The sequence below is a fragment of the Homo sapiens genome, chromosome 3, assembly GCF_000001405.40.
Source record: "Homo sapiens chromosome 3, GRCh38.p14 Primary Assembly".
NCBI classification, from domain to species: Eukaryota; Metazoa; Chordata; class Mammalia; order Primates; family Hominidae; genus Homo; species Homo sapiens.
In genome coordinates, this window is record NC_000003.12 from 6,727,186 (window position 1) to 6,755,143 (window position 27,958).

At 37.1% G+C, this 27,958-nt stretch overlaps 2 long non-coding RNA genes across 21 annotated transcripts in view; one reads left to right on the forward strand and one right to left on the reverse strand.

Annotated features, from left to right (window-relative positions):
* LOC105376944 (uncharacterized) overlaps positions 1 to 9,554 on the forward strand; it is a 246,298-nt gene extending 236,744 nt beyond the window's left edge. For all 19 annotated transcript variants that reach the window (NR_188695.1, NR_188694.1, NR_188693.1 and 16 more), the window contains 2 exons: positions 5,086 to 5,310; positions 8,477 to 9,554. This is a non-coding gene — a long non-coding RNA (uncharacterized LOC105376944). The remainder of the gene's footprint in view (positions 1 to 5,085; positions 5,311 to 8,476) is intronic.
* The window catches only part of GRM7-AS3 (GRM7 antisense RNA 3), a 173,092-nt gene that overhangs the window by 94,828 nt on the left and 50,306 nt on the right, over positions 1 to 27,958 (reverse strand). The window contains exons 3-4 of one of the 2 annotated variants that reach the window (NR_110125.1): positions 9,555 to 9,652; positions 3,987 to 4,203 (exon numbers count right to left, since the gene is read on the reverse strand). The exons of the other annotated variant lie outside the window; for it this stretch is intronic. This is a non-coding gene — a long non-coding RNA (GRM7 antisense RNA 3). Of the gene's footprint in view, positions 1 to 3,986; positions 4,204 to 9,554; positions 9,653 to 27,958 lie in introns of those variants that run through there. 2 annotated transcript variants of the gene reach the window in all.

The window sequence follows — 27,958 nt, forward strand, 5'->3', positions numbered from 1 at the left end:
GAATAAATGAAATCACTGTTGCACAATATAAATGAACTGTGTTCATTGAGCATTGGTGAGCAGGTAGGTAGGAGGAAAACAGAGGAGGTCACAGTGTGAAATAATCCAATGAAAAACTGACATCATGTTCATTTTTGTGGCTGAGTAGTATTCCATTGTGTATATATACATTTTCTTTACTCATTTATCTGCTGTTGGGCATCCAGGTTATTTCCCTATCTTAGCTGTTGTGAATAGGGAAGAAATAAACATGTGGTGCAGGTATCCCTTTGACATACTAATTTCCTTTTCTTTGGATAAATACCCAGAGTAAAGGGATTGCTGGATAGTATGATAGTTCTATTTTTAGTTGTTAAAGAAACCTCCATATTGTTTTTCATCATGGCTGTACTAATTTACATCCCCATCAACAGTTATAAGGAACCATTTTCCTCTGTATCCTCACCAGCGTTTGTTATTTTTTGTCTTTTTGACAATAGCCATTCTCATTCAACATGGATGGCCTGGAGGACATTATGTTAAACAAAGTTAAGTCAGGCACAAAAAGATAAATATTACACGTTCTCACTTATATATGAAAGTTAAGAAAGAAATTTTGAGCTCATGGAAGTAGAGAGAATTGTGGGTATTAGAGGCTGGGAAAGGCATGGAGAAGGGAGGTCAGGGAGAGGTTGGTTCACAGATAGAAAGTTACTGCCTGGTTGGAGGAATGAGTTCTGGTGTTCTTCAGTACTATAGGGAAAATATGGTTAACTCTAATTTATTGTATATTTTCAAAAAGCTAGAAAAGGGGATTTTGAATGTTCACAACATGAATAAATGGTAAATGGTTGAGGTGATATTCTAATTACCCTGATTTGATCATTATTCCTTGTTTACATGTATCCAAATATTACTCCATATCCCTTAAATATGTATAATTATTACATGTCAACTGTAAATAAAAGGAAACACAAAACCGACATAGCAAACTACCAGTACAGGTGGTAGGAAAGCAAACCATGGAGGCTGGCTTTGGAGAATGGATCTGTATTTAGATTGAGCCATGACAACATTGCAGGATAACCTGGACTCTCAGAACACAGTGTCAAGATGGGATTTTAGGCATGAAACAAAATAAGAAAAAATGTCATGTAGAAGGCTGATTATAAAAATAGACACCATTATTTCTGCCTTCTTGTATCCATGCTGTGTTCAGTATGAGTCTTCACTTCTCTCATTGAGAAGTGGAGCCTTTTTTTCCATCTATTAAATCTGGGCTGGCCTCACAGCTTGTGGCTTGATTCAGCCAACAGAGTATCACAGAAGTGATATCAGCTGGTTCCAAGCCTAAACATTAAAAGAGCTTGCCTGCTTCCTCCTGCTCTCTTCAAGCTCTTCCTGCTGCCAGGTGAATAAGCTCAGGGAAGTTTGCTGGAGAGCAAGGGACTCTGTGGGACAAGGGTATTCATACTTTCTGAAGCTGTCCAGCCCATCCTTAGCTGATCACATATTCATGACTAAATCTAACCAAGACCAGCAGGACTTCTTATTCCAAATTGCTGACTGATAGAATTGTATACTTAATAAATGATACTGATTTGGGCTACTAAATGTGGAGAATGTTTATTACGTGTCAATAGCCAACAGCTACAACTCCATTTATAGGGAATAGCGGTTGTTCAGAATTTAGATTGTGTGTTAGAAGGCTAGATCCTGACCACTGGAAGAAGAGTCCATTCAATATCAGCTATGAAACCAAAATAATACTGAATGAAAAGATTTTAGTTCAGTAGTCCATTTCTTTTTCCAGAGTATCAGGCTAGTCCAAGAACTTAGAATAGGCATAACAGCCATAGCTCTAGACTCCAGAGTATGGAAGAAATTATGGGGATTGCTATTTTAAGAAGTATTTTGAGAAAACCAAGTCAAATTAAACTATCTTTATTTATTAAACACTGTACTAATAAGGAAAGGTGACCCAAAAGAAGTCAAATGGTGGTTCTTTTCTTCAAGATTTTAAATACTAGGTAAGGATTTTGCTAATCAAAAATTGTTGTAAAACAAAAGATAAAAAGTGTTGGCAAGAATACGAAAAAATCGGAATTCTTTTAAACAGTTGTTGGGAATGTAAAATGTTATCGCCACTATGGAAAATGCTATGGAGGTTCCTAAAAAAACTGAACAATAGAATTACCATAAGATCTAACAATCCAACTTTTGGATACATAACCAAAGAGAGTGAAATCAGGATCTCGAAGAGGTATCTACAATCCCCATATTTATTGAAGCATTATTCACAATAGCCAAAATGTAAAAACAACCTAAATGACCATTGACAGATGAATGAATAAAGAGAATGTTGTATGTACATACAATGGAATATTATTCAACCTTAAAAACAAGGAAATCCTGTCATATGCAGCAACATGCATGAACCTGAAGGACACTTTGCTAAGAAAATAAGCCAGGCACACAAAGATAAATATTGCATGATTTCAATTATATAAGGTATCTAAAATAGTCAAACTCATAGAAACAGACAATAGAAGGAGGATTACCACGGCCTGGGGACGGGAGAAATGGGAGGTTGCAGTTCGATGGGTGTGTAGTTTCAGTTATGCAGGATGAATAAATTCTAGCGATCCACTGCACAACATTGTGCCTATAGTTGACAATGCTGTATTGTGAACTTAAAAAAATTGTCAAGAGGATGGATTTCCTGTTAAGTGCACTTACCAAAAAATAAAAAAAAAATGCAAAAGAAGATCCGTGTAAACACATATGATTTTCAGCCAATTTTTCCCACATTGACATAGATTTATAGCCAGCCCTCTTCATCCATTGGTTCTGCCTTTGTGGATTCAGCCAGTTGGGGATCAAAAAATATTAGAAAAAAAACAATAAAAATAACATTACAACAATGAAAAATAATACAAATAAAATACAGTATAGCTATTTACATAGCATTTATATTGTATTAGGTATTGTATTAATCTGTTCTCACACTGCTATAAAGAAATGCCTGAGACTGGGTAGTTTATGAAGAAAAGAGGTTTAATTGGCTCACCATTATGCAGGCTGTACAGGAAACATGGCTGGGGAGGCCTCAGGAAACTTAAAATCATGGTGGAAGGTGAATGGGAAGCAAGCATGCCTTACATGGGTGGAACAGGAGGAAGAGAGAGGGGAGGGGCCACACACTTTCAAACAACCAGATCTCATGAAAATTCACTCACTATCATGAGAACAGCAACTGAGGGTAATCTGCCCCCATGATCTAATCACCTCCCACCAGGTCCCGCCTCCAGCATTGGGGATTAAATTTCAATATGAGATTTGAGTGAGAGGACAAATCCAAACCATATTAGGTGTTATAAGCAATCTAGAGATAAAGTGTATAGAAAAGATTATTTAACCTTTGCATAGTATTTGCATATAACCTTTGGATATAGGTTTATATCCATTTTATATCAGGGACTTGAGCATCCTTGGATTTTCATAACTTTGGAGATCCTGGAACCAATTCCCCATGGATACAAAGGGACAACTGTATAAGAGTTAAAAGTTGGACCTACTTCAGCATAAAATTTCAGAACAGAAAATAAACATAGAGATATATAGTACAATTCTGTCATTTTGTAAATGTTAAAAATGGCTCTGCTGAAGTCCTATAAATATTACATGGCAGAATTTTCTCTAACATTTACTTATTTCTCCTCATCTGGTCTTTCGTCTACATAATCTAATGAGTTTTTTCAAAAGTTAAATTAGTAGAGAATATTTGCCTCTAGGCCAAAGTAAAAAGAGATATGGATTTACAAAAATTACCCACCTTAAAATTTCTTTCCTTTCTTCCTCAGGCACTGTCATGATTGCTAGTCTGATTGCCTATTCCATTGCTAAGACATTTTTCTCTTACAATATTTTTAAGATCCTCATTATTGCCTAATTAGTAAGAAAACCATGACTTAGTTTAGTCTTGGGAAGAATGAACTAGGTAGAAATGGCATCACAATTTTTATTTTCAACCCAAACAAGAGAAAGCTAATGGAGCAATTTAATAATGTTCCTCCAGATCCTGAAGAGTTCACACATCACCATTGGGAACCATTGATTTCCTGTTTTTTTAATGTGTGTACAGAAACGCAGTCTTAGGCACAATGAGGACATGAGAAATAAAGGATTTACTCCATGCTCTCTGGTAACTTGCAAGTGAGTTAGCTATGAAATAAAGACATAAACACAGGGAAAAAGTTGTATTATAGCATGTGCATATGGAAAAAAGTTGTAATACAACATGCATATTTCTATATGGACAGTCTAAAATGCTTTATACAAACAAAAATGCAATAAGATTTCAAACAACATGTGATTGATAACATCTACAGTCCTGCTAGAAAAAAATAGAATTAAGCTTCAAGAATAGGGAGGAATTATGATTAAGGAATGAGAAATAGATTGCTGTTCCAGGTGAAGGGAAAAGTGCATGGAAAATTTCATCTGTCACTGCTAAATATTCAATGAGACAGTAGGGATATCTGCTTGATTAAAATAGCACAAGGAGAAATGGAGTCAAATTAGCAATGACAAACAAGATTATGAGACTATTTCTATGCCAGCACGAAGATTAGAACATTAGTCTATAAACAAACCTAACCTGTATTCAATAAACAAACTTAACCTGACCAAACGAATACTGTAAACCGAATTAATGCAGTCATTGACAGACTAATCCTTTCTCACGGCTTGGAGTGTGTTAAACAACAATCACTGATAGTTCAGCCACTAACTCTGACAAATGGTGGCATTGTTTGTACTGCCCTCATCAAACCTAATCAGTCTAGGTATACTAACCCCATAGGAGAGTCATGGCTCTAAAGGTAATGGGCATATAGTGTCTGCAGTCTAGCCGTTGCATTACCCAGGTGGACCATTATACTTGCCACAAGAGGCAGAATATCCTTATTTCCAAAAGGCCTTAATTTGGCTAAATTCTCATCTTTGTCAGCCAAGGAAAGTGGGGATCTCGTTGTAGACATTTTGAATCTTTCATTGGCACTTCTATATATTATACTAATCAGTTCTTTTGTCTTTACATTTTAGTATCTAGCACGGCTGTGGAACAAAGGAGAGACTCACAAACTGTTGAAAGAATAAATGAATGAATGAATTCTGTTCATGAGCTTTAATAAAACAGCTCTGAGTAGTAACAGTGGATCAAATTTAGGCTTCTTGATGCAGGCATGGTGTAGATTACTACTTCTGTATTGTCCCAGGAGCTCAGCACATTCCTGCAGAGATGATAGGAGCTCATCTGATACTTGTCAGGTAAATATGCTCAGTGATCATGGAATGTTAAAATGAAAGGAACATGCAATTCTGGTCTTTTCCTTAAAAGTTTCAAAAATAATATTACACACAGGAGCATTGTTACACATTTAATTTATCTGAGTAAGTCCCTATATACTACATCAATACTGAAGACATTATCTGGTTTATCACAGATATTTATCTTCTAATAATCTTTGTCTTGACTCTTAGAGATTCTCTGCATTAATTCATAAAAGCATAGAAACGACTTGCTGGAAAAATGTAGTTTTTTATTATGGGAAAGCCAAAGAAGCCCTTTTGTTGATTGTTGGCTATCCCCTCGAGCAGTCTCTTTTCACTGTGCTCTGCACTGCTTATTGCTCTCTCTAGAGTCATGATTCAAATGTTCTAGGCAATTTAAAGTCACTAGTGACTCTCAGTCTCTGAGACTGCTTGGGGCAGCTATCTGAGCCATCATTATGTCACATTATGTCTTAACATTATGTCCTGCCAACCTGAAGCCCCAGCCTGCAACAAGTACAATGGCACGCTGGGTTCAGTCTTCACCTGGCTGTTAATATTGACTTGATCTCAGAAGAGCTTTCAAATGATACAAACAAAGCCTTTCCTGGAAGCCCTTCATGTCTACTGCTGTGATTATTGAACTATCACCATTGCCTACTTTCTGTCAGATTTTTGAAGACCACATAGCAAGTATGCTCTTAGAGTGAGGGGCAGTACAGTAAATACAGTGGCTCGAGAGTTACATTGTTGTTACAACTTGACTCCGAATTATATCAGTTGTGTGATCTTGAGCAAATTGTTCAAACTTTCATTTATTTTTCTCTATAATGGGCACCATAATAATACCAAGCAAATAGGGTATTATTATGGTGAAGACTAAATCAAGTGTCTTGTATATATTAAGCATTAACTAAATGTCAGTCACTTCTGTTTGTATAATCTAATCTTCAATTAGAATTAATATGGCTTTAAAGTCAAAGAGGGCCAGGTGCCGTGGCTCACACCTGCAATCCCTTTGGGAGGCCAAAACGGGAAGATCGTTTGAGACAAGGAGTTTAAGACCAGCCTGGGCAACAAAGTGAGACCCCATCTCTACAAAAATTTTTAAAAGTAGCTGACCATGGTAGCATATACTGTAGTCCCAGCTACTCAGAAGGCTGAGGTGGGAGTGTTGCTTGAGCCAAGAAGGTCCAGGCTGCAATGGGTTATGATGGCACCACTGCACTCTAGCCTGGGTGACAGAGCAAGACCCTGTCTCTAAAAATTAATTAATTAATTAATTAATTAATAATAAAGTCAAAGAGATCCAGATTAGAATCCTGTTGCTACTTTCAAACTTTATGAGCATCTGTTTTTGTCCTGATAAGCAAAGGCAAAGGTCAGTGCCGAATGACTTTGCGTAATGTTACCACCTCTGAATTAGTGTTGCGTACATTGCATGGTGCTAGTACAGTGAATGTTTCAGCTAGGCCACTGGGTGTGCAAGTAGTGGATATTTATATTCAGCATCTATTCAGGTTGATCACTGCCTATGTTGTACTGATTATTTCATAATTTGAATATCATACCAGGGTATTAGTATCAAAGTACCCGTTTGTTGCTTTTGTTGTCATATAGTTAGAAACAGATATTCAAGAAATTTTCAAGTAAAACATTATTCCCATCTATGGGAAACTTCAGAAGCTGCAACAATTCTAAGAACCAGCTTTTATCCCTCCAGACACACATGGATTCTGTCAAGGGAGTACCCGTATCTCTTTGACACTACCTACTTATCAGGCTGCCCCATATTTTTTCATTGTTTTTTAATTTCCTTTTCTGGCCAGGGGTATTTTCTGTTCCCTCTTCTTCCCTTGTGCTCTTTTCTTACTATTAATTGTTGTAATTTCTTTGTGTTTTTGAGTTCAAATTCTTCAGAAGATCGGATCAGCCAACTTCTTATTTTTAGACACTGCTACTCTGTAGATAGTTCATCCTTTGTTACATGTTCACCACAGCTCTGTAGCCAAGACCAGGAAGTGGCTGCATTACAAGGTACAAAACATGCCCCCACAACCCCCAGCTCCCGACATGAGGAAGATGAGCAGAGCAGTTTCCTCTAAAATCTGCTTGGCTGGGGCAAGCATGATGATATCTATAGGTAAAAGGTAATGTGCAAGGATGCCGCGACTCTTGTTTGTTTGACGTTTCACAATTTTATTTATGGAATCAGTTCTGTTGGATAGAATGATTGCTCATGATTTTTGAGGCTTGGATATTGGAACTTAGAAAATAAATTGAATTGGGCACTGCGTAAATGGTCCAGTCAAAGGAAGTGTCTATTTTGGCCACTTCATTTAAAACACAGTAAAATTTAATTAAAGGACAATATTGGTCCAAGAATGTACCTTTTAAGACACAGCAGTATAGTATCAACTCTGTTTGTGTTGTGTCGAACAAAACAAAACAGATTAAATACACAAACAAATATTAGAATATACAATCAGTTGCCACAGTTTTGAAGTGCATGTATATATTTCCTGATCAAAGAATGTTTTCAACTGTACGGAAAGAGTTAGCTGCAGTTTTGTAGCATGTTTACAAAATGATTTCTCTTTGACCATTGAAAAGAAAAGCTGCTATAGGCCGGGCGCGGTGGCTCATGCCTGTAATCCCAGCACTTTGGCAGGCCAAGGCGGGTGGATCACCTGAGGTCAGGAGTTCGAGACCAGCCTGGCCAACATGGCGAAACCCTGTCTCTACTAAAAATACAAAAATTAGCTGGGTGTGGTGACGCCTGCCTGTAATCCCAGCTCCTAGGGAAGCTGAGGCATGAGAATCGCTTGAATCCGGGAGGCGGAGGTTGCGGTGAACAGAAATTATGCCGTTGCACTCCAGCCTGGGCGACGGAGCAAGACTCTGTCAAAAAAAAAAAAAAAGAAAAAAGAAAAGAAAAGAAAGAAGGAAAGAAAAAAGAAAAAGGAAATGCTGCTATAACCATATACTAAAACACTATGACACTATGAAAAAAATTAGTAGTTTTTAATTCTTAACAATGGATGCTAACAAAGAAATATTGCTGAAACCAAGGAAAGGCTGAGAATCAATTATTTCATTCCTGTTTAGTTCTTTGGGCAAGGCATACTAATTTGTTAACAATTTACCTCTTCATCTTTCTTAGCTTTGAATAAACTCCAGTCCCCAAGAGAGAGAATGAGAATCACCGGAATACGAAACTTCCCTGTTGGACTTCCCAACATTCTTGAATGCACCAAGATAGCCTCTTGCTGTGAGATTAATAAATGAATAAATGCCTCCATATTTTTCAAATCTGTGAAGTTAACAACATGTAGATTTTTTTGCATATTTAAAAACTGCAACTAAATCTTAATGCCTCTGAAGCAGATGGAAGAAAATAATAGGCTTCCATTAACTGTGTCAAATTGTATAGGTCTTGGCCATCACTGGTCCTGTTGTGATGAAGGTTTTTTGCCCTTGGATATAATTTAATTTTCAATTCTTCTAATTATGGTACTTCAGAACATCAATATTTGAGATGAACTTCTCTAGTGTCAAGGACTGATTTGAGTTGTGTAAACCCTGAATATCTGAGACAGGTCTCGATTATTTTAGAAAGTTTATTTTGCCAAGGTTGAGGATGTGTGCCTGTGACACGGCCTCGGGAGGTCCTGAGGACATGTGCTCAAGGTGGTCAGAGCACAGCTTTGCTTTATACATTTTAGAGAGACATGAGACATCAACCGACATATGTAAGATGAACATTGGTTCCATCTGGAAAGGCGAGACAACTTCAAACGAGGAGGGGGCTTCCAGGTCATAGGTAGATAAGAGACAAATGGCTGCATTCTTTTGAGTTTCTGATTAGCCTTTCCAAAGGAGGCAATTAGAGTGAGCAAAATGAACAAAATCAATTATTTTGATTCTGAACAAAATGGGAGGCTGGTTTTCCCTAAGCAGTTCCCAGCTTGACTTTTCCCTTTAGCTGAGGGATTTGGGGGGCCCAAGATTTATTTTTCTTTCACCGTTGTATCAAACTACACAGGCGGCCTTGGAAACCATCACAGTTGAGAGTAGGTAACGCCCATTTGTTGCATAGTTTTGTGCTCCACACTCTTATCTACAAAATTATGAATTTTTTTACATATATTAATTTCAGAAAAACTAAAAATAAAACAAAGTAGTTTCAAACTAGTATTGTTTTTATATCTTAAAAATAAAGCTTTATATACTCTCCTTACCTCATCATAAATAGCTTGCCTTATTTAATATATACTCGGCATTCTATCTGTTTTATTTCCATTTTGGGATATGATATTTTAATTTTTTAATTTGTTACCTAAACAAAAAATAATACACAAATTATTCTCAGCCTTTATATATGTACTTGTTGAAAGATGAGATATATAAGTGCCGGTAAGTGCTTCAAGTAAGGAAGACATCTGGCCTGTGTCTTGGGGATCGCATAATCACTGTGGTGACAGTTTCAGAGAGTAGCATGTGTAGGGGTTTGTGGAGTTAGCAAAGACAAGAAGCATGAAGCACAGCCAAAAGTTTTTTTTCAGACACAAGATATATTTGAAGTTTGAAATAGAGTGAAGACCCATAAATGGGGAAGAAGTGAGGATTCTAAGTGTCTGTGCAGAAAATTTAGCATAATTTGTTGAGGATTTGGAGAGTGTGTCAAAAGACAGATAAAGATTGCAGATAGCTGCAAGATCCCAGCCTCAGGGGATCTCAAGCCGTAGGGATTCAGCATTTAGTCCTGCACCTATGTGTGTGTGTTACAGGACATGAGAAATGATTTAAAAAAAAACACCACCCTGGATAAATTCTTAGTTCTGCTCTGTTTAGTGTCTAGTGCTAGGAGATCAAAGGAGAAGACTGTAACTTGAGCTTGACTTTGAAGTCAATAGGACTTGTACAGTGTGGCGAATATACCATAAGGGGAGTCCCAGTTGAGTCATACTTGTTGATGATCCCTATTCCTTGAGCATGAACAGAACCTGAGACTTGCTTCTAACCCATAGAATATGGCAAAAACGGTGGAATGTCACTCCCTTGAGGTATAAGTTATATATAGATATAGTATAGATATATATAGATGATATAGATGTATATATAGATACAGATATAAATGTAGACATAGATATAGATGTATGACTGTGGGCAGACAAGGATGAGATGACAGACCCTGCCTTGCTGGCCCTGAAGATGTGAGCTGCTATGCTGTGAGGTGGGCTACAAAGGAGCCACATGATAGGGGACTGTGGGAACCTGCAGGAGCTAAGAGTGGCTCCCAGCTAACAACCAGCAAGAAAGCAGAACCTCAGCTCTGCAGCTGCAAGTAACTGAATTCTGCCAACCATCATGTGAGCTTGGAATAGGACCCTGAGCTCCAAAAAGAAGCGCCACCCAGCTGACACCTTGATTGTAGCCTTGTGAGACCTTGATCAAAGGACTCAGCTAAGCCATATCTGGACTTCTGATCCATGAAAACTGTGAGATGATAAATGTGTGTTGTCGTAAGCCACTACGTGTGTGGTAATTTATTATGTATCAATAGAAAAATAATATAGATGGCTAGAGAAAAAGATGAGTATATCCTGGGCACTCTAGATGTATGGTACCACACGAGTTAAGTACAGAGAATAAGACGGACATTCTTATTTGGACCTCTGCACTTAAGCTCATGTGGTTCCATACATATAGAGTATCCGGAATATACTTATCTTTAATACTCCATATTGTATATTGATCCGAATATTGAACAAGTATTTATTTATTTATTTATTTTTGAGACGAAGTCTTGCTCTGTCGCCCAGGCTGGAGTGCAGTGGTGCAATTTTGGTTCACTGCAAACTCCGCCTCCTGGGTTCAAGCCTTTCTCCTGTCTCAGGCTCCCAAGTAGCTGTCACTACAGGCACCATGCCTGGCTGATTTTTGTATTTTTGGTAGAGACAGGGTTTTGCCAGGCAGGTCTTGAACTCCTGACTTCAAGTGATTCACCCACCTCAGCCTCCCAAAGTGCTGGGATTACAAGCATGAGCCACCACACCCGGCCTTTGAACAAGTATTTCCTGAGAACCTACTGTGTGTTAAAACTTGACCAGGAAACCAATGGGGGAAATGAAAATTAAGAGAGCTTAAGTAACTTGTGCAAGTTTACAAAAAAACAATTATATAAGAATACAGGAATGCTGTAGGGGAAAATGGAGTCATGTTTGTGTGACATCCCAACCAGTAGGGTCTCTGAGTACTTAATCTGTATCTTTGAATACAGCTTGTTTTTCTTGTTTCCTTTGCACTATAGTTTAAGTTGTGTGTTAGATCATCTTGAAAGCACTTATTCTCCTTGTGTCCAGGGATGCTTTAGGATAATTTAGCAGTAAATAACTGAAATTATCTTTCTAAAACAAAAGTATACTTTTTCTCTACTGAGTTTCCCAGAGTGTACAAAAGAACATTGAACACTGAAAAAGAAAATAAATCCTGAAGAAAAATAGACACAGGAGCTGAATCACTGTTTTGATTTCAGAACAGGAACATCTAAGTCTGTAAAATATTGAGTACTTTGAACTTTGATCTCACTAAATTTAAGCTGTTAAATTGTTATGCTTTTCTGGGAATTCCTAAGAACTTCCCTGTATTACAACGGCTGACTCTGAAATTTTGTTCATTTGAAATTTTTGATTTTTTTTTCTCCATGTTAGAACTGGAAAAGATATTTGTTCAATTCAATATTTTAAACAAATGAAGATATATTTGGAAATAAAATAAAACCTCTTCTGCAGTGGATCCTGTTGATACTCTGTTAAATCTCCTCCAATCCCCTTTTCTCCTTGGCTGCATCCTTCTCCTGGCTTGTGTTTGCTTTTGTTTTTCTGTTGCACCTGCATTTCTCTTAGGAAGGCTGCCTCAACTGCTGGAATCCCTTTACCACCTGCTGCAGAGTTCTTAGGGGTTTCCTTCCTGCCCAGCGTGGCCCCTTTCTCCAGCACAGGCTCTTAGTCAAAGAATACTTGAAAGCCCAACTTCGTTGCACGGAGGTGAACAACTCTGAGATTAAGTTATGCTCTTGAGGTCCCCTGCAGGAATAGACAAGAAACCTCTGGGAAGACATCACCTGAAACCACACACTTATTGAGTTTCTTCCACTTTTCTCTTTTCTGCTTCCCTGTGTCTTACTGGTTCCTTTTGGGGGCACTTCTGGAATAAACAGTTTCTGTAATAAATCCCAATTTCAGTCTGCTTCTAGGGAATCAACCCAAGACGGACACCTTCTTACCTGTTTGCTGAAATATAAACTTGGTTATCAATCCAGAACTGCCAAAGTATTTGATACAAAATGAGATATTTCAAAATGCACAGGTGTCCTAGATTTTTGTCATTTTAATGACTTTTTCTGGATAATAAAAGTAGCTTATATTAATTGTTGAGTTTAGAAAATGCACAAAAATAAGGTAAATTACATTATCTGTAGTTTCTATTTATACCTTGGTAAATTTTTCCAAAAACTACCGCTAGCCCCACCTCCAATCAAGACTACATCTTTGAGTATATATGCTAATTTTTTCTAATTAAAATTATGATTCTAATTAACATACAGAATTACATTCTGCTTTGTTGTACACAGGTGGTTTAGTTATTTAATATTTTTTAAAATGTCAAGTGCTTGCACATTGTAAATTACTTTTCAAAGAACAAAAACAATGAAAGAAACAAAGTCAGGGTTAGAGCAGAAATTTCTCCTCTCCATTTTCATTTCCCAAACATAAATACTTTACAAGACTGGTGAAGATTGTTCTAGATTTTATACACACAAAAGCACATTTACACACACATACACACAGACACTCACAAGGATGTACATATACAATGCACGTTTTTACTCTTATTTATAATGAAACTTGTGCATACTACATATGTATTTCTTACAATTAGCTTTCTTCAGTCTAGGAACTTGATGAACTCTTTCCACAGTAGAGCTTGGAGATCAGCCTCAATTTTTGTAAATAATACATGAATACTGTTTTTCCTGATAAACAATACGTCACTTCCTGTTCTTATGCGTTTCTGTATGCATGGGTAGGGACATTTCTTCCATGTGCTAAAATCCTAGAAAGGCACCTAATGATTAGTAAGAAATGTTTAAATCAATACATAACTGAGCACATTTAGAAAATATTAGCCTCTACTGAATGTAAATCCTTAGTTTCTCACAAATACCCCCTCCCCAATATCCCTGCTTCTCTCTCAAAATGTCTTGGTATAAATGCGTATGTGCAGCTTATCCATCCTCTATCAAAATGTTAGTAGTTACTACCAAATTACCCTATATTAGTACAAGTTGTAATAATATATAGTCCAGCCAACATTCTATATGACCAGGTATATGAGCTTTTGTATTTATAAATAATTCTCCAGTCTGTCTTTAATTTTAAGTTGTTTATTGTGTTACTTGCCATAAACGAATTTAACTTTTTTTCATTAAACAATTCCAGTATTTAATCTCTTTATTACTTCTGATTTTTATTTTATTCCTGGAGAGGTACCCATTCTCCAGATTAATGTTTATTTTCATCTAATATTTTAAGATGTTTTTTCTACCTTCTGGTCATGTATTTATTTGGAATAAATGTGTGTCAAATGAATACATATATGTTAGGGAAGATATGCCAGGTAGGAATCAAACATAGTTTTTCACCACAAATTGATAACCTATTGTAGCTATCCACTCCACTGAATGGTCCATCCACTACCTGTTGATTTTGAAATGTAACTTTTTCACATAAGGATATTCATATATGAATATAAATAGATGAATAGATAGATAGATAGATGTGATGACTGTATGGATACCTAACTATTTATATCCATCTATTTATGTATGTGCATTTTGGGGCTCTACTGTTTCACTGATCCATCATTTTCACTTCAGAACTACACTGCTATAATTGCTATAGCTGCATGGCACGTTTCCACATGTAGTAGAGCAAGATCTCAGTCATTATTCTGCTATTTCAAGACTGTTAAACTAACCTCATGCAAGATTGCTTTATGAAGATCTCTTGACAACATCTATATTTTCTACCTTGATAATTTCCTTCTAAAAGCAAAAATACATTTGGATATGTTTTGTAAACTCTAGTAATCATACAAATGTAAATTGTGCATGCCTTGTAGGTAGCAGGGTCTCTCTTATAATTCTCACTCATCTTAGGTACAGGAGGGAAAAATGTAGCTTTTAAATATTGCCTGTAACTATCTGCCTCCTACAACCCCATTTTCAGGTTATTCACATAACTTGGGGATAGGTGGTCAAAAAAATAAAACTTAAACCAATAACTAGTCAAGGACTTTTAAAAATGGTTTAGATTATTTAAATATAATTTCCTGCTCTCTCTCAGAGATTGCTCTACCTCAAACATCTCTGCTTATCCGCTAAAGATGGCATCTGGGTAGAAGGGGAGTAGGTGTTTATACTTCTTGCGATTCCTGCCTTACCCTGACCTCCAAAACAATGTCCTTTGACCACCTTGGGGTGGTTAGCCCTGCTGGCATTTAGGACTGTGGTCAGCATCTTTTTTTTTTTTTTTTTTTTTCTCAAGCAAGTTCTCACTATGTTTCCCCAGTCTGGTCTTGAACTCCTGGGCTCAAGCAATCCTCCTGCTTTGGCCTACCAAAGTGCTGGGATTACAGGTTTGAGCCACTATGCCCAGTGATGGTCAGCATCTTTTGTCTGGGGGTAGTCAAGGCCATGTAATACGTTTGCACTTTCTCAGCTTTATTTGAGCTCTTGCTGGTGCTATCCACCCTCTGATTGTCTGACTGGGAATCTCATTTAGCTCGTAGCCCTTGGAGCAGAACCCCTAAGGGAAGCCCCTCTGCCCAATGTGCCAGCCAAGTGTTTAGCTGCTTTGGATATGCCTTTGCCTCATCAGACCCAAGGGCAACCCAGGAAACTAAACCTCTGCCTGACCTCTGCTTTCATGTGACTGCCCTCCCTGTGAGTGTGAGTGCAACCTACATGGAAGCCTCCTTCCAGATGAATAAGTGGGTGGCGAGGCAAGAGTCACTCTCCTCTGTGACTTCATAAACTATCAAATGTGCTTTTCCAAACCAGACAGCCATGTTTGTTTCCTTCATGAGCTTCTCTTCCCTGGTCTTCTCTTCTTTGTACCACCCTAGTGGGCAGATAAAATTATTTGTTTTCTTTTGACTTCCCTCCCATCTTATGCTCCTTCTACTTGATTTCAACCATCTTTAATGGGGAACAGAAATATCTCCCTGAATATTATTTAAATTGTATATTACATGAATGGCAACCCCCGGAGAAAACCATTGCATACAATGTAGATGATGCCTGCTGTATCTGTGCAACTTGGAAGCCTTGATCTCCTCAATACAATGAGGAGATTTCACAATGAGTCCAGCTGCGTCAGTTAAAAGAAAAGAAATAATAATTTAGCTAGTCTCTTAGAAGGACAACAGCCTGGTTTTCAAGACTATTGTCCTCCTGAATTCTGAATGTTAATATCACAGTGTCTTCCTTCTGGCAAAAAAAAAAAAAAAAGAGAAAAGATGAGGAATAAGATGAAAGCCAGGTGCTGTAAAATGTCTAAGAGGAAACATTAAGCTACTTCTATGCCTTATCCTTTCATCTTTAGTCCCCTTCTCCCCTTTTTGCATCCTTTCTCATAGCTACTGATGTTAACCACAAATAAAGACAGTATCTGACTAATCAAGATCAATTCACATTTCTGCAGCCAGGAGAGGTTAAGGAGTGGCAGAAAAGGAAGTGAAGTTCTTTGAAAGTTACTGAATAACAGATATTGTGCTTATAACTTTCCATATTTTAGTTGGTTAACATTCGTAAGATTAATCTCTGTTTCACAGATGAAGAAACTGAGGCTCAGAAGAGTTTGGAAATTGTTCCAGATCGTACACTAGTAAGGATCAAAGACAGACTTGAAATCCCGCTATGAGGAAGTGCAAAACTATTATTCCTCATTCTAAGGAACTTTGTACTGCGAAAACAATGCATTGCAAAAATTGTAAAAAGTGGCCCTTTACTTGTTAAAGGGTCACGTGAATTAATCAGAGGGGCCTATGGGATAAATGTCACGCTGCTCTATGGTGCAATGCCAGTAAGCTTTTGGCCATTTCAGCACCTGTGGGTTTTGCCGTCCTAATTTCAAGGTTAGGCATAAAAGTAAGTCTCACACTGTTTTATAAGAGTACATTTCTGCTGGTTTCTTAACCATATTTTACTGCTGCCAAATAACCATACCTTCTCCTCATCTCCTTCTCATCATAAGTACATGATACCATTGTTGAAATTCCACGATGTTTATGCTCTCATTTTTGAAAAATTTAACCTTGGTCTTAGACATTAGTTATTTCCATGAAAAATGTGACATGCATTTTAGGAATACCTAGATAGATTTAGGGATGATGTATTGCACATTCACCCTCATTTACTATTCAGCTTTACTTGCTATTTAATTCTCCTGTCACTACCAAATACTTTGGCGGACTAGGACTATGCTATTTTTGTGATCATTTCACATTTTATATCAATCCTCCTGCCCTTATGTATCATGTCTCATGTTTTTATTACATCTTATCAGACCCAATCTTGTCACAGAATGTTTCATTTTCTGCTATAACTAAGATTTACTGTGCCTAAGGGTTCTCAAATTTTAGAGCCTATTTCATTTTAGTTTTGTGTATTTTTTGAAATGAACTCCATAATGCATTTGTAGCTTTGACTTGCCTCAAATTGAGGTTTGTCATTAATTTGCTTTTGAAACCGATCCCAGTTTATCTAATACCAAGTAAACCGTTATTTGAACAGAAAATTGGAATATCTTATTTGTGTCCTAAAAGCAAAATCTTTGTTGTCAAAGGGGAAAATAATATCAGGTGCCAAAGGAAATCATGTTTTGACGTCAACTGGGGTCCTGTTCCTCAAACACAATAGAAACTCAACTTTTGTTTGAATTAATTCTTTCCAGTTTTTTTATAGGACTAGCTTCCTTATTGGTCTCTAAATTACTCTGGGTCAGAAGAGTGGTTCCCCTGAAGTGAGGAACTGATAAAATGAGACTATTTATCGATTTAATGGATATATTTTTAGGTATGTTTTTAAGGCCCTTGTGGAAATAATTGCCAGTGAAGGTGCTGTTTTTAACTAACATAAGGAGACATAAGAGTCACCGGCTTTAAAACAGTGGTGAACTTTAAAAGGAGACAAACCTTGAGGAAAAACCATCATATTCACAATAGGCCTTTTCCTTTTTGACCTCAAGACTCTATTTCTAGGAATAATTAGAGAAACACCCAAAGATGTATTAAAAAGTAGGATTATTGCAGTCTTACTTATATAGCAAATACACTAGAAACAATGAAAATATCTAATGACAGCAAACTGATAAAATATGGATTTCCAATAGTAAGCTCTGCAGTCTTTAAAAATTATGAATTTGATGATAGGTAATAATCTGGAAAAAGGTACACAAAATTCAAGTAAAAATATACAACTTAAAAAAAAAAGTAAAACTATTAAAAATTTTTAGGCCGAAAGTGATGGCTCATGCCTGTAACCCCAGCACTGTGGGAGGCTAAGGCGGGTGGATCACTTGAGGTCAGGAGTTCAAGACCAGCCTGGCAAAAATGGTGAAATCTCATCTCTGAAAATACAAAAATTAGCCGGGCATGGCAGCATGTGCCTGTAGTCCCAGCTACTCGGGAGGCTGAGGCAGGAGGATCACTTGAACCTGGGAGACCGAGGTTGCTGTGAACCCAGATTGCACCACCGCACTCCAGCCTGGGTGGCAGAACAAGACTCAGTCTCAAAAAAAAAAAAAAAAAATTTGTTTACATTTATGATACCAATTTAAAATATATATATGTATGTAACCTCCTGACAGATTATTCCTGCCCACTGCACAAATAAAAACCACAGCACTGCAGTAAATAAAGAGTTTAATTGATATGAGGCTAGCCATGCCATGCGGGAGACAGTTAAATCAATCTCATTGAAGGCTTGTAGGGTAGAGGCTTTTCAAAGGCAGTTTGGAGGTAATGGTGGGGTGGCTAGGAAATGGGTGCTTGCTGCTGACTGGTTGGAGTGGAAATGAAATGATAAGGGGTCTAAGCTGTCCTTTTGTGCTGAGTTGCTTCCGGGTGAAGTTATAGGAGCAGTGAAACCACCAGTTGGTGGGTCTAGTGGATCCATCCGTGTCAGACATACGAAAACCCTGAAAAGATATCTCAAAAGGCCAATCTACATTAGTGATGTTGTCTGCAGGAGTAACTGAGGAAGGTGCATATCTTGTGACCAGTCTACATTTTACCAAATTGAGGCTCCTCTCCTCCCGCTACCCTGGTCTCTCATTAGCTTTACAAAGATGGTTGATTTTGGGGGAAGGGCTATTATCATTTAGCCTGTAACCTAAACGTCTTCCAAAGTTAGCTTGACCTAAGTCCAAGAATAATTAAGGCAGTTTGAAAGCTAAAGGCAAGGAGGGGGTTGGCTAGATCAGATCTCCCTAACTGCCATAATGTTTTTACTTACATAATTTTTGCAAACGTGGCTTCATGTATTTTTGTGCAGAGAAAAAAAGAGGGAAAAAAATACCCCATAATGACGGTAAGGGTGTACAATAGCTGGTGGAATTAGGGGAAAATTTTATATACTTTTTTATAACATTTTGGTTAAAATAATTTTTTTCTTCGTCTTTTTTTAACGAGAAGAGATTTTACCAAAATTCAGAGTGACTCTTTTCACTAGAATAAACTTAAATCTTGGCTAACAACAAAGATAAAAGGCAGAAAACAAAAGGTTGTGACCACCAAAGATTCATTATGTTGTACATTTGCTTTCTGTTTAATATTGATTTCATCTCCCTATGAGATCTCTGGGTTTATTTTATTATTTTTTCTCACACATCCGATCAGAACGGAACCTCCATTTCCCTAGAGAGAATCATGTTGTGTCGACCAACCATCTGTGTCAGAGAGCAGAGGAATCTGGGACTTTTAAACAGTCGTCGTGTAGGCTACAGATGGGTAGTAGCAACATGAAATTCTCAGTCCATTTAAGGCAGCTGGCACAGGCAGGTCCTTCTTTGTACCTTAGCCACATCAATAGTAAAGTGGCATCATCTGTGAACCTAGAGTTTTCCGAGAAGTCTTGAAAGCATCATTCTTAACTGCGTGTAGCCCATCAAGTGAAATTGACATGAAAGTACGCACAATTGTTGACGCAAATTCCCTCAGCAATGTTATATGTTGTAAGCTGTTAATACTACCTTTTAGATCCAATCTCCCACCCCATGGGGACTCCCCAGTGGCTCCGCTGCACCTGCAAGGATTCACAGTCCATCACTGGCAAACTCTCCTGTTGCGTTAACCTCTCGTACTCTACCTGAAGCCTGCCATCCACTGGGTCCAGCCACCTCCTCTGTAGCCTTTTTCATTGGTGGCTATTTTTCCTTCTTCTTCTTTCACAGCCTAAGACCTGCAAGTAAATGGGTTTCCTTCTTCCTTCTCACTGCAGCAAAACCATGTTTCCTGTTCCTCCCTCTGTTTTTGGTTAAGGGAATGTAATTCCACACCTTCTCCCGTTCCTGGTGACAGAAATCTCCCCTCCACAGCATGTTATCAGAGGCTTCCACAGTCAGCCCTCACATGTTGTTCCCTTCTGATCCAGCACAGATTTCAAGGCCTATCAGAATAAGCATTTGTTTGCACATACCCGCCATTCCTTTGCACCACCTCTGTTGAGTTTGGCCAAAAAGATATCAACCCTCACTACATCTACACGTCTACCTACTCTGCGTCTACAGTTGAGGAGCCAATGTGGCTGGTGGATGCCATTTAAATTTACACCCTCAGACCTGAACTGGGTTGTTAGCTGGCTTCTTACATTTTTCTGATTGCTTCCTGCTTTCAGAGATAACAGATTTATATCTTCTCTCTTGTCCTTCTTTGACTCACGTCAGTAGAGAAATAGTCATCTTATCTTACTTCATCTTCTGCGTCACTTCCTCCACTTCTGCCTCACTGTCCCTGAGGAGGGCACCTGTCCACCCTCCTATAATGATGATGGATTTCTCCTTGCAACTAGGTAAGGGCAACATTAAATATAGTACTCCTATTCCATTTTGCTCATTCACGGACTTTCCTGGTGTCTCATTCTTGTACAACCAATTATGCCTTTTAATCTAATGAACATGAAAAACAGTTCACGTATTTAAAATTAAATTCCATGCTAGGCCCCACAACCCCTTTCAACTATTATCTTATTTCATTCTTTTGTTTACAATAAAGTTTTTGAAAATGTCTGTACCTGCTTTCTCTATTTCCTCACCTCACCCCTCCTTTGCTTCTCAATCCCCTCCTGACAATTTTGGCCTTCCCCACTCTACTGAAACCACTTTGACATGGTTAAGGAATAACAATGTTTTAAGAGAATAGGAAAAAGTATGATGCAGAAACTTTAGTCTTGAGTAGAAGTTTGTCCAGTGGTCTACTAGAACAATGCTCTTCTTTTCTTTTCCCATCACCTGGACAAGAAAGTCAAGATACTTTAAAATGTATATTTTATTTGACCTAATAAAGGCAAAATAAAAATGAGTAGCTGGTACTCATTTGTTCGATACCTTGAGTTTCGTGGTAACAATTTGAAGAGGACCATAGTATACAAAGTAAAGATTACCAGAATTTAAAGTGTCCTATCACACTGACAATTTATAAGCAGAGATTTCTAAGTCTCAACATTATTAATAATTTGTGCAATCTATTTTTTAATTTTGGAATAGTTTAATTTTAAATTATAGTAATATTCTATTTTATAAAATTTATATATTGCAAATAAGATGTTTTAATTTTATTTTATACAGATTAAGAGATTCTATAGAATCTCTTACAGAATATTTCTCTGATCAAGAAATATTTTCATATACTGTTTTTAGACTTGGTATTGTTTTAACCTTTTTACTTTCTCCTAAATTTTGTGGATATACTTTTAATATTTTATTTAGCATTAATGTAAAATGTACTACTTCAAGTGTTTAGCATGAGCTTTGTTTTTCTTTTTCTTTCTTCATCTTCTTCTTTCTTCATCTTCTTCTTTCTCTTCATCTTCCTTCTCTTCTTTTTCTTCCCCTTCTCCTTCTCCTCCTCCTTTTTTTAGTGGAGGCAGCCAGGCTCGGAACATCAGCTAGCCTTTGCAGCTTGAGTAGCAGAGGCTGTAGCCACAGCATGATATGGGACTCCTGAAGTCATTCCCCATGTTTACTGCTTTTACTGAGTAATGTGGTCTAGCATGACCTTTATCCGAATTCTAAATAACTATTCCAAATGTTTTAGAAATTAGCAGCACTGAAGCAATATCCTGAAGCAACCTGGGTGTGTTTGTGTGTGTATTCATATTGAAAGCTTATTTCCCTATTACATTTTTTTAGATTTCAAATCCATTTATTGATTTGATTTTTCCAGCAGTATCAAATTGCTTCTTTTAATAATGGACCTGATGCATAAAAGATCACATATTGTGATACCTAGAATAAGTCTCAGAATTAATTTCACATCATAATTCTTATTGGCTATGCAGTCATGGACAAGTCACTGAACATTAATTTCTTTATTAATATATCTGGGATAATTGTATCTTCGCTGTATGTTAAAACATGATAACATTCGGCCAGGCGCTGTGGCTCACGCCTGTAATCCCACCACTTTGGGAGGCCAAGTCGGGCGGATCACTAGGTCAGGAGATCGAGACCATGCTGGCTAACAAGGTGAAACCCCGTCTCTACTAAAAATACCAAAAATTAGCTGGGCACGGTGGCAGGCGCCTGTAGTCCCAGCTACTCGGGAGGCTGAGGCAGGAGAATGGCGTGAACCCGGGGGGCGGAGCTTGCAGTGAGCCGAGATCGCGCCACTGCACTCCAGCCTGGGCGACAGAGCGAGACTCCATTTCAAAAATAAAATAAAATAAAAAGATGGCATTCAATTAATGGTTTTGTTTTTGCTGTTAGTAGTTTAAAAAAGAAAGCTCTCATAGAAGTTGTTTAAAGCTCCTCTGAATAAGTAATATAGTATGCGCTCACAATGTCACTACTAATTTTGACGTTTCATTTCCTACTCATTGATAGTTATCCGTGTTTTTTTCTGTTTTAGATGGCTCCATTTGTGAATGTATTACAAACAGAAATACATTTTTATTTGAAATATCAGGGGTTATAATTTAATAACACCTTTATTACATCACTTAGAATTTCTTTTTACCATCTATGATTGCCAACTTAAATTTTGGCCAGAAATCTTGGTTGTAAAACTCATTAAATTTTATTGTAATTTATGTGTGTGTGAATATTATTAAAACCTTATGTATGAGGCCGAGTGCGGTGGCTCACACCTGTAATCCCAGCACTTTTGGAGGCCGAGGCAGGCAGATCACCTGAGGTCAGGAGTTCGAGACCAGCCTGACCAACATGGAGAAACCCCGTCTCTACTAAAAACACAAAAAAAAATTAGCCATGCCTGGTGGCGGGGGCCTGTAATCCCAGCTATTCGGGAGGCTGAGGCAGGACAATTGCTTGAACCTGGGAGGCAGAGGTTGCAGTGAGCCAAGATCACCCCACTGCACTCCAGCCTGGGCAAAAAGAGCAAAACTCCATCTTAAAAAAAAAAAAATTATGTATGAGTTCCAATTAATACTGTTTTCCCCTTTTGTGTAGTATCATGGAAGTTTTTATAGCTTTGACTTATTTCATTTATTTTTGGCATTGCTAATATTTGGAGAGTGAAACCTTTTTGAAATTGACACTTTTGTCACATTACCACTATTTCTCTGTATTTTTGAAGTCGCTTATTTGATGACCACAAATTTTACAGGGTCCACCTTGAATTTCCTGCAGTCTCAAAATTTCTTACAGCCCTAATTCTTTTTATTGCTTATTACTATACAGATTTTGATTTAAGTATGGGTTATTTCCATTGTATTATTTCCTATAAGCAATGGTTTAGAGCTAGGTAACACACAAGCCTCTAACCAATTCAATAACACAATAGGAAAATTATATTTTCTTATTTGCTTTTGACAGCATGAGTACCTGCTGATATTTTCAATTTATTTGAATTTATTATCCTTTTATTCTTTTCTTCTCTCTTTTTCTGAACACACTTCCTTGTTTTTGCTGTGTATAATCTATTCACCTAGGCTCTACACTGTCACATATATTATTCCACATAAAATCATAGTGTACCGTATTACACACTAGGAGATGTGCAACAATTTTCCTTCAAATTTAGAAACAATTTTCTATAATGCAGTTGAAGTTTACTCAAGCCAGATGTCACAGTGTAGCTAATAAATAACTACTATACCATAACATTTCAGGAAAAAATTCATGTATGTAAACATCCTCAGGTAGAATACACATGGGAGTGGTCTAATAGCTAAACCACATAGTCTCCTAAACATTGTCTCTGCTGTAATTACTAAGATTTACTTTTACAGTATATATACCCATTTGATTTACTTTAAGCAATCATAAAAGAAGTTAATCATGACAGGTGTATGGGAAAAACAGTGCCTTCAAACAGTGTTTGTAGCAGTGTACACTGGCAAAATATTTTTTACAATTAGGAAAGACATAATAGATCCTTAAACCTTGTCAACACTTTGGCTTAGTGATTTTACTTCTGGAAAAATACATATAATTACATCTTTTTCATGTAAAAAAAATTAAACAGTAGATTCTTCTCAAGGTTGGTGGTTATGGGAGGTGACAATTGTAGCATATCATCTCCCGGCTTCAAGAGTGGGCCTGTGTTATACTAGTCATGAAACTTCAGCTTCGTTGACTATGCCAGTTGGTCCAGGGGCTGACCACACAACCCATGACAAAGATCCAAAGGGCTTTTCATTCTGAAATAAGCACAGTAAATTTCTTTCTGCCCTGTGCAATTTCTGCCTTGTTCTTTAGATGGGAACCTACGGTTATAGCCACATGGGAATCATGAGAACTGACAGCCTGAGAGGCTAAATCCAAAAGACAGCCAGAAGCAGGGAAAAAAGAGAACAGTGATAAGACAGAAACAACAAGACAGAGACAGGAACGGAAACAGGTTGGATGGTGTTTTGTCTCTGAATCCAGCTCTACTGTGTTCTTTCTCTGGTGTATTATATTAACCAATACACTCTCATTTTGCAAAAGCCAGTATAAGTTGGACTCATGTTTTTTTGCAACTATAGTATCTTGACAAATGTGAGCTTTATAAAAACCTATATAATAATGTTAAAATTTTTTATTATAGAACACTAAGTATAAAAATCATGATACAACATTTTATGTAGAACACTATTGCAGATGACCCAAAAGAGAAAACACACCAAAAAGAAATTATATACATAATACATAAAAAAGAAGAAAAATATGGAAATATAAAAATAGTTATTTTTGGATGGTAGGATCAAAAGAATTCATTTTTAAATTTTTTTCTGATTTTCTATTTTTTCACATTTTAATAATATGTAAAGTTATAAGTGGAAACAAAACTTTTTAAGTTATAATTTTCATTATAATAAAGAGATTTCTTTTTTCTAAAATAATGGTTCTGAAACTTGGTACAGAAAAGAATTATCTAGAGCACACCAAATTCCTAGGCTCCATCCCAGCCTACTGAGTCAGAAATCCTAAAGTGGGGTCAAAGTATTTTCATTTCTTCCAAAGTTCTGAAGAACCTCTGGAACTAGAACCAAGATGGTACAACATGACAGGTGGGGGTGTTGGACTGGGTATTTAACAGACCTGGATTTGAACTCCAGTTCTGCCATTGGTAACTGGATAATTTTCAAGGATCTTTTTATTTCCTCTAAGCCTTGACTTTCTTATCTCTAAAATGAGACTAAATAGATTTGATCATGATACGTTGTATACATGTATCAGAATATCACTGTGTACCCCATAAATACGTGCAGTTATGTGTCTACTAAAAAAGGAAAAAAAAATAGATAAAATGAGGCTAATTATTTTAATTGCCAGGGTAGATGAAGCACTGTTTATACAGCTTATACAGCACGTAGTATGATGTCCAGGCACAGCATAAGCACTCGAGCATAATAATACATTATTTAAAAATAAAAAATAGATAAAACAAATTTAAAAATAGTAAATGTCATCATCATTATTATTAACCTTCCATGATGATGACAAAAATTTATAGGAAAAAGGTTTTAATTACCCCAAGTCGATTTATATACCATTTTGAATCTCATGCCATTGATTGGGGGAAAATTTCCTATCATCTTCTACTCTCCAGGGTATACTTCCAAATGGCATAATTCTCTGTCATAAAATATTTCCAATTTTTCTTCAAATTTCAGTAGAAAGGGATTGAATTTGAAGAGTCATCACCGCAGTTCTGCTTTCATAAACAAAAGCAAACAAGCAAACAAAAATCACTACGAGTGTTTTGTAAAGGGAGAAAGGCACCAATAGGTTATTAAAGTTGAATTACCAGGGCCATTTACGCTCATTCCCAGTGCCTGTGTCACACATAACCCCTGAAGAAGGAAAATAGCAATACTTAGTGAAGCAGGTAAACGGAATTTCCAGCCAAGGAGTTCAACAGACAATCTGAATTCTGGCTGGCCTTTTAACTCAGAGGTAATTACAGTAGATTTGGGGGCCTAACCTTAGTTTGCAATATTTTTTTAACTGATATTATATTTTATGCAGGCCAAGTCAAACACTTGAAGGGCAGAGGGCAAGATGTAATTAAATTACTACCTTATTTATGTTAATTATTCATTCTTATTAAATGAGGACAAAGATGTGAGTCTGTTTTGCTTGTTGCTGTTTTTATTGTTGTTTTTGTTTCTTGATGCCGCTGTACTACCAGCAGCTAAAGCAGTAGAAGGCTTAGAGTAGGCTTGCACTAAATGTGCTGGATATTGGATAGAAGCATAAATACCATCACGTATGCAATGGCAGACTACAGATACCACCATCCTTATCTATCTACAACTGATCAGAAAACAAACAGAGACTAAAAAACAAACTAACAGATACAATCCTCAATCACAAAAATCACAAATGGTGAAGAAGGGGTGCTACGTGAAGAAAGGATCTGCCTGGTGTGCAGGAAGGTACCAAAGAGAAACACTGCAGCAGCCAAGGGCAGCAGAACCTGGCGAGGACCAAACTCCAAAGCTCAGGAGCATGCCAAGGGGCCACACCTTTTCTGTTACAAAAGATCAGTACACACAGCTAGTACAGAGCTTCCTGGTTTGGTACCACAGAACTCTAGGGACTGGAGGGGTGCAGGGAATTGAATTAGGTGACACATGACATTTTTGCCAGGAGTAAGTCATCTGTGAGTCAAGGTCTAGAAGAAAGATTCAGAGTTGTTAGATGATCTGCAGCCATAAGTCTCTAAAAGTTAGGGATAAACAGAAGGCTAAATCAATCCCTCCCACACACATACACCCCCCTGTGTCGTGAAGAACTCTGCTCTGAAGCAGAGAGACATTTTGCAGCTCTGTCCTCTCTCCATCATAAAGCCCAGAAAATAGCTGGTCCAGAAAGGGCTCACCTAATTCAAAGTGAACAATATTTGAAAAGGATGCACAATATAGGCATGCACAGCATAATCATGTTTTTGTCAACTCTGGGCCACATATACAACAGTGGTCCCATAACATAATACTGTATCATATTGTATTTTTATCGTACTTTTTCTATATTTATATGTGCTTAGATACACAAATCCTTACCATTGTGTTACAATTAACTACAGTATTTTTACAGTAGCATGCTATACAAGTTTGCAACCTGTGAACAATAGCCTATCCCATACAGCCTAGGTGTATAACAAGCTATACCATCTAGGTCTGTATAAGCACACTCTATGATGTTTGCACAATGACAAAAATCACCTAACAATGCATTTCTCAAAATGTATCCCCATCATTAAGTGATACATGACTGCATCTGTGTAAATATATTATAAGAAAAGAGGAGGACTAGAACCAGAAAAACAAAAGTCAGAGACTACACATCAGAAAAATATTACCAGGGCCAGAGAATCTCGTGTCCAAATGCATTTTCATGGATTTAAGTAATTTTAAAAAACAATCTTAAATTTTTTTAAAAAGAGTTCCTAAATTTAAAGAAATAAGAGTTCACAGAGATATGGGCCAGGTAAGACATTAGAAATATGTTTCAATGGAAACAGATGAAAATTAAATTGGCAGACAGAGCCCAGTAAAGCAGTGAAAGACAAAAATAAAACCATAGTATAAGTGAAGACTATATTAGAAAAAAGCAAAAACAAGTAACTTCAGGGACTGTTTAAAACAAAATAAAAATATGGAGAACAGGACAGATTGAATAAAATTAACACATACACTAGAAACTAATAATGAATTAAGTAGGGTTAGAGGAAAAAAATGGATAGATCCTGAAAATTTAACCATGGAGGTGAAAGAAGTCTACACTGATGTCTGTAAAACATTGATAAAAGAAACTAAAGAAGACACAAGTAAATGGAAAGATAGTCTATGCTCATGGGATAAAATAACATTGTTTAAATGTCCATACTACCAAAAGCTATCTACAGATTC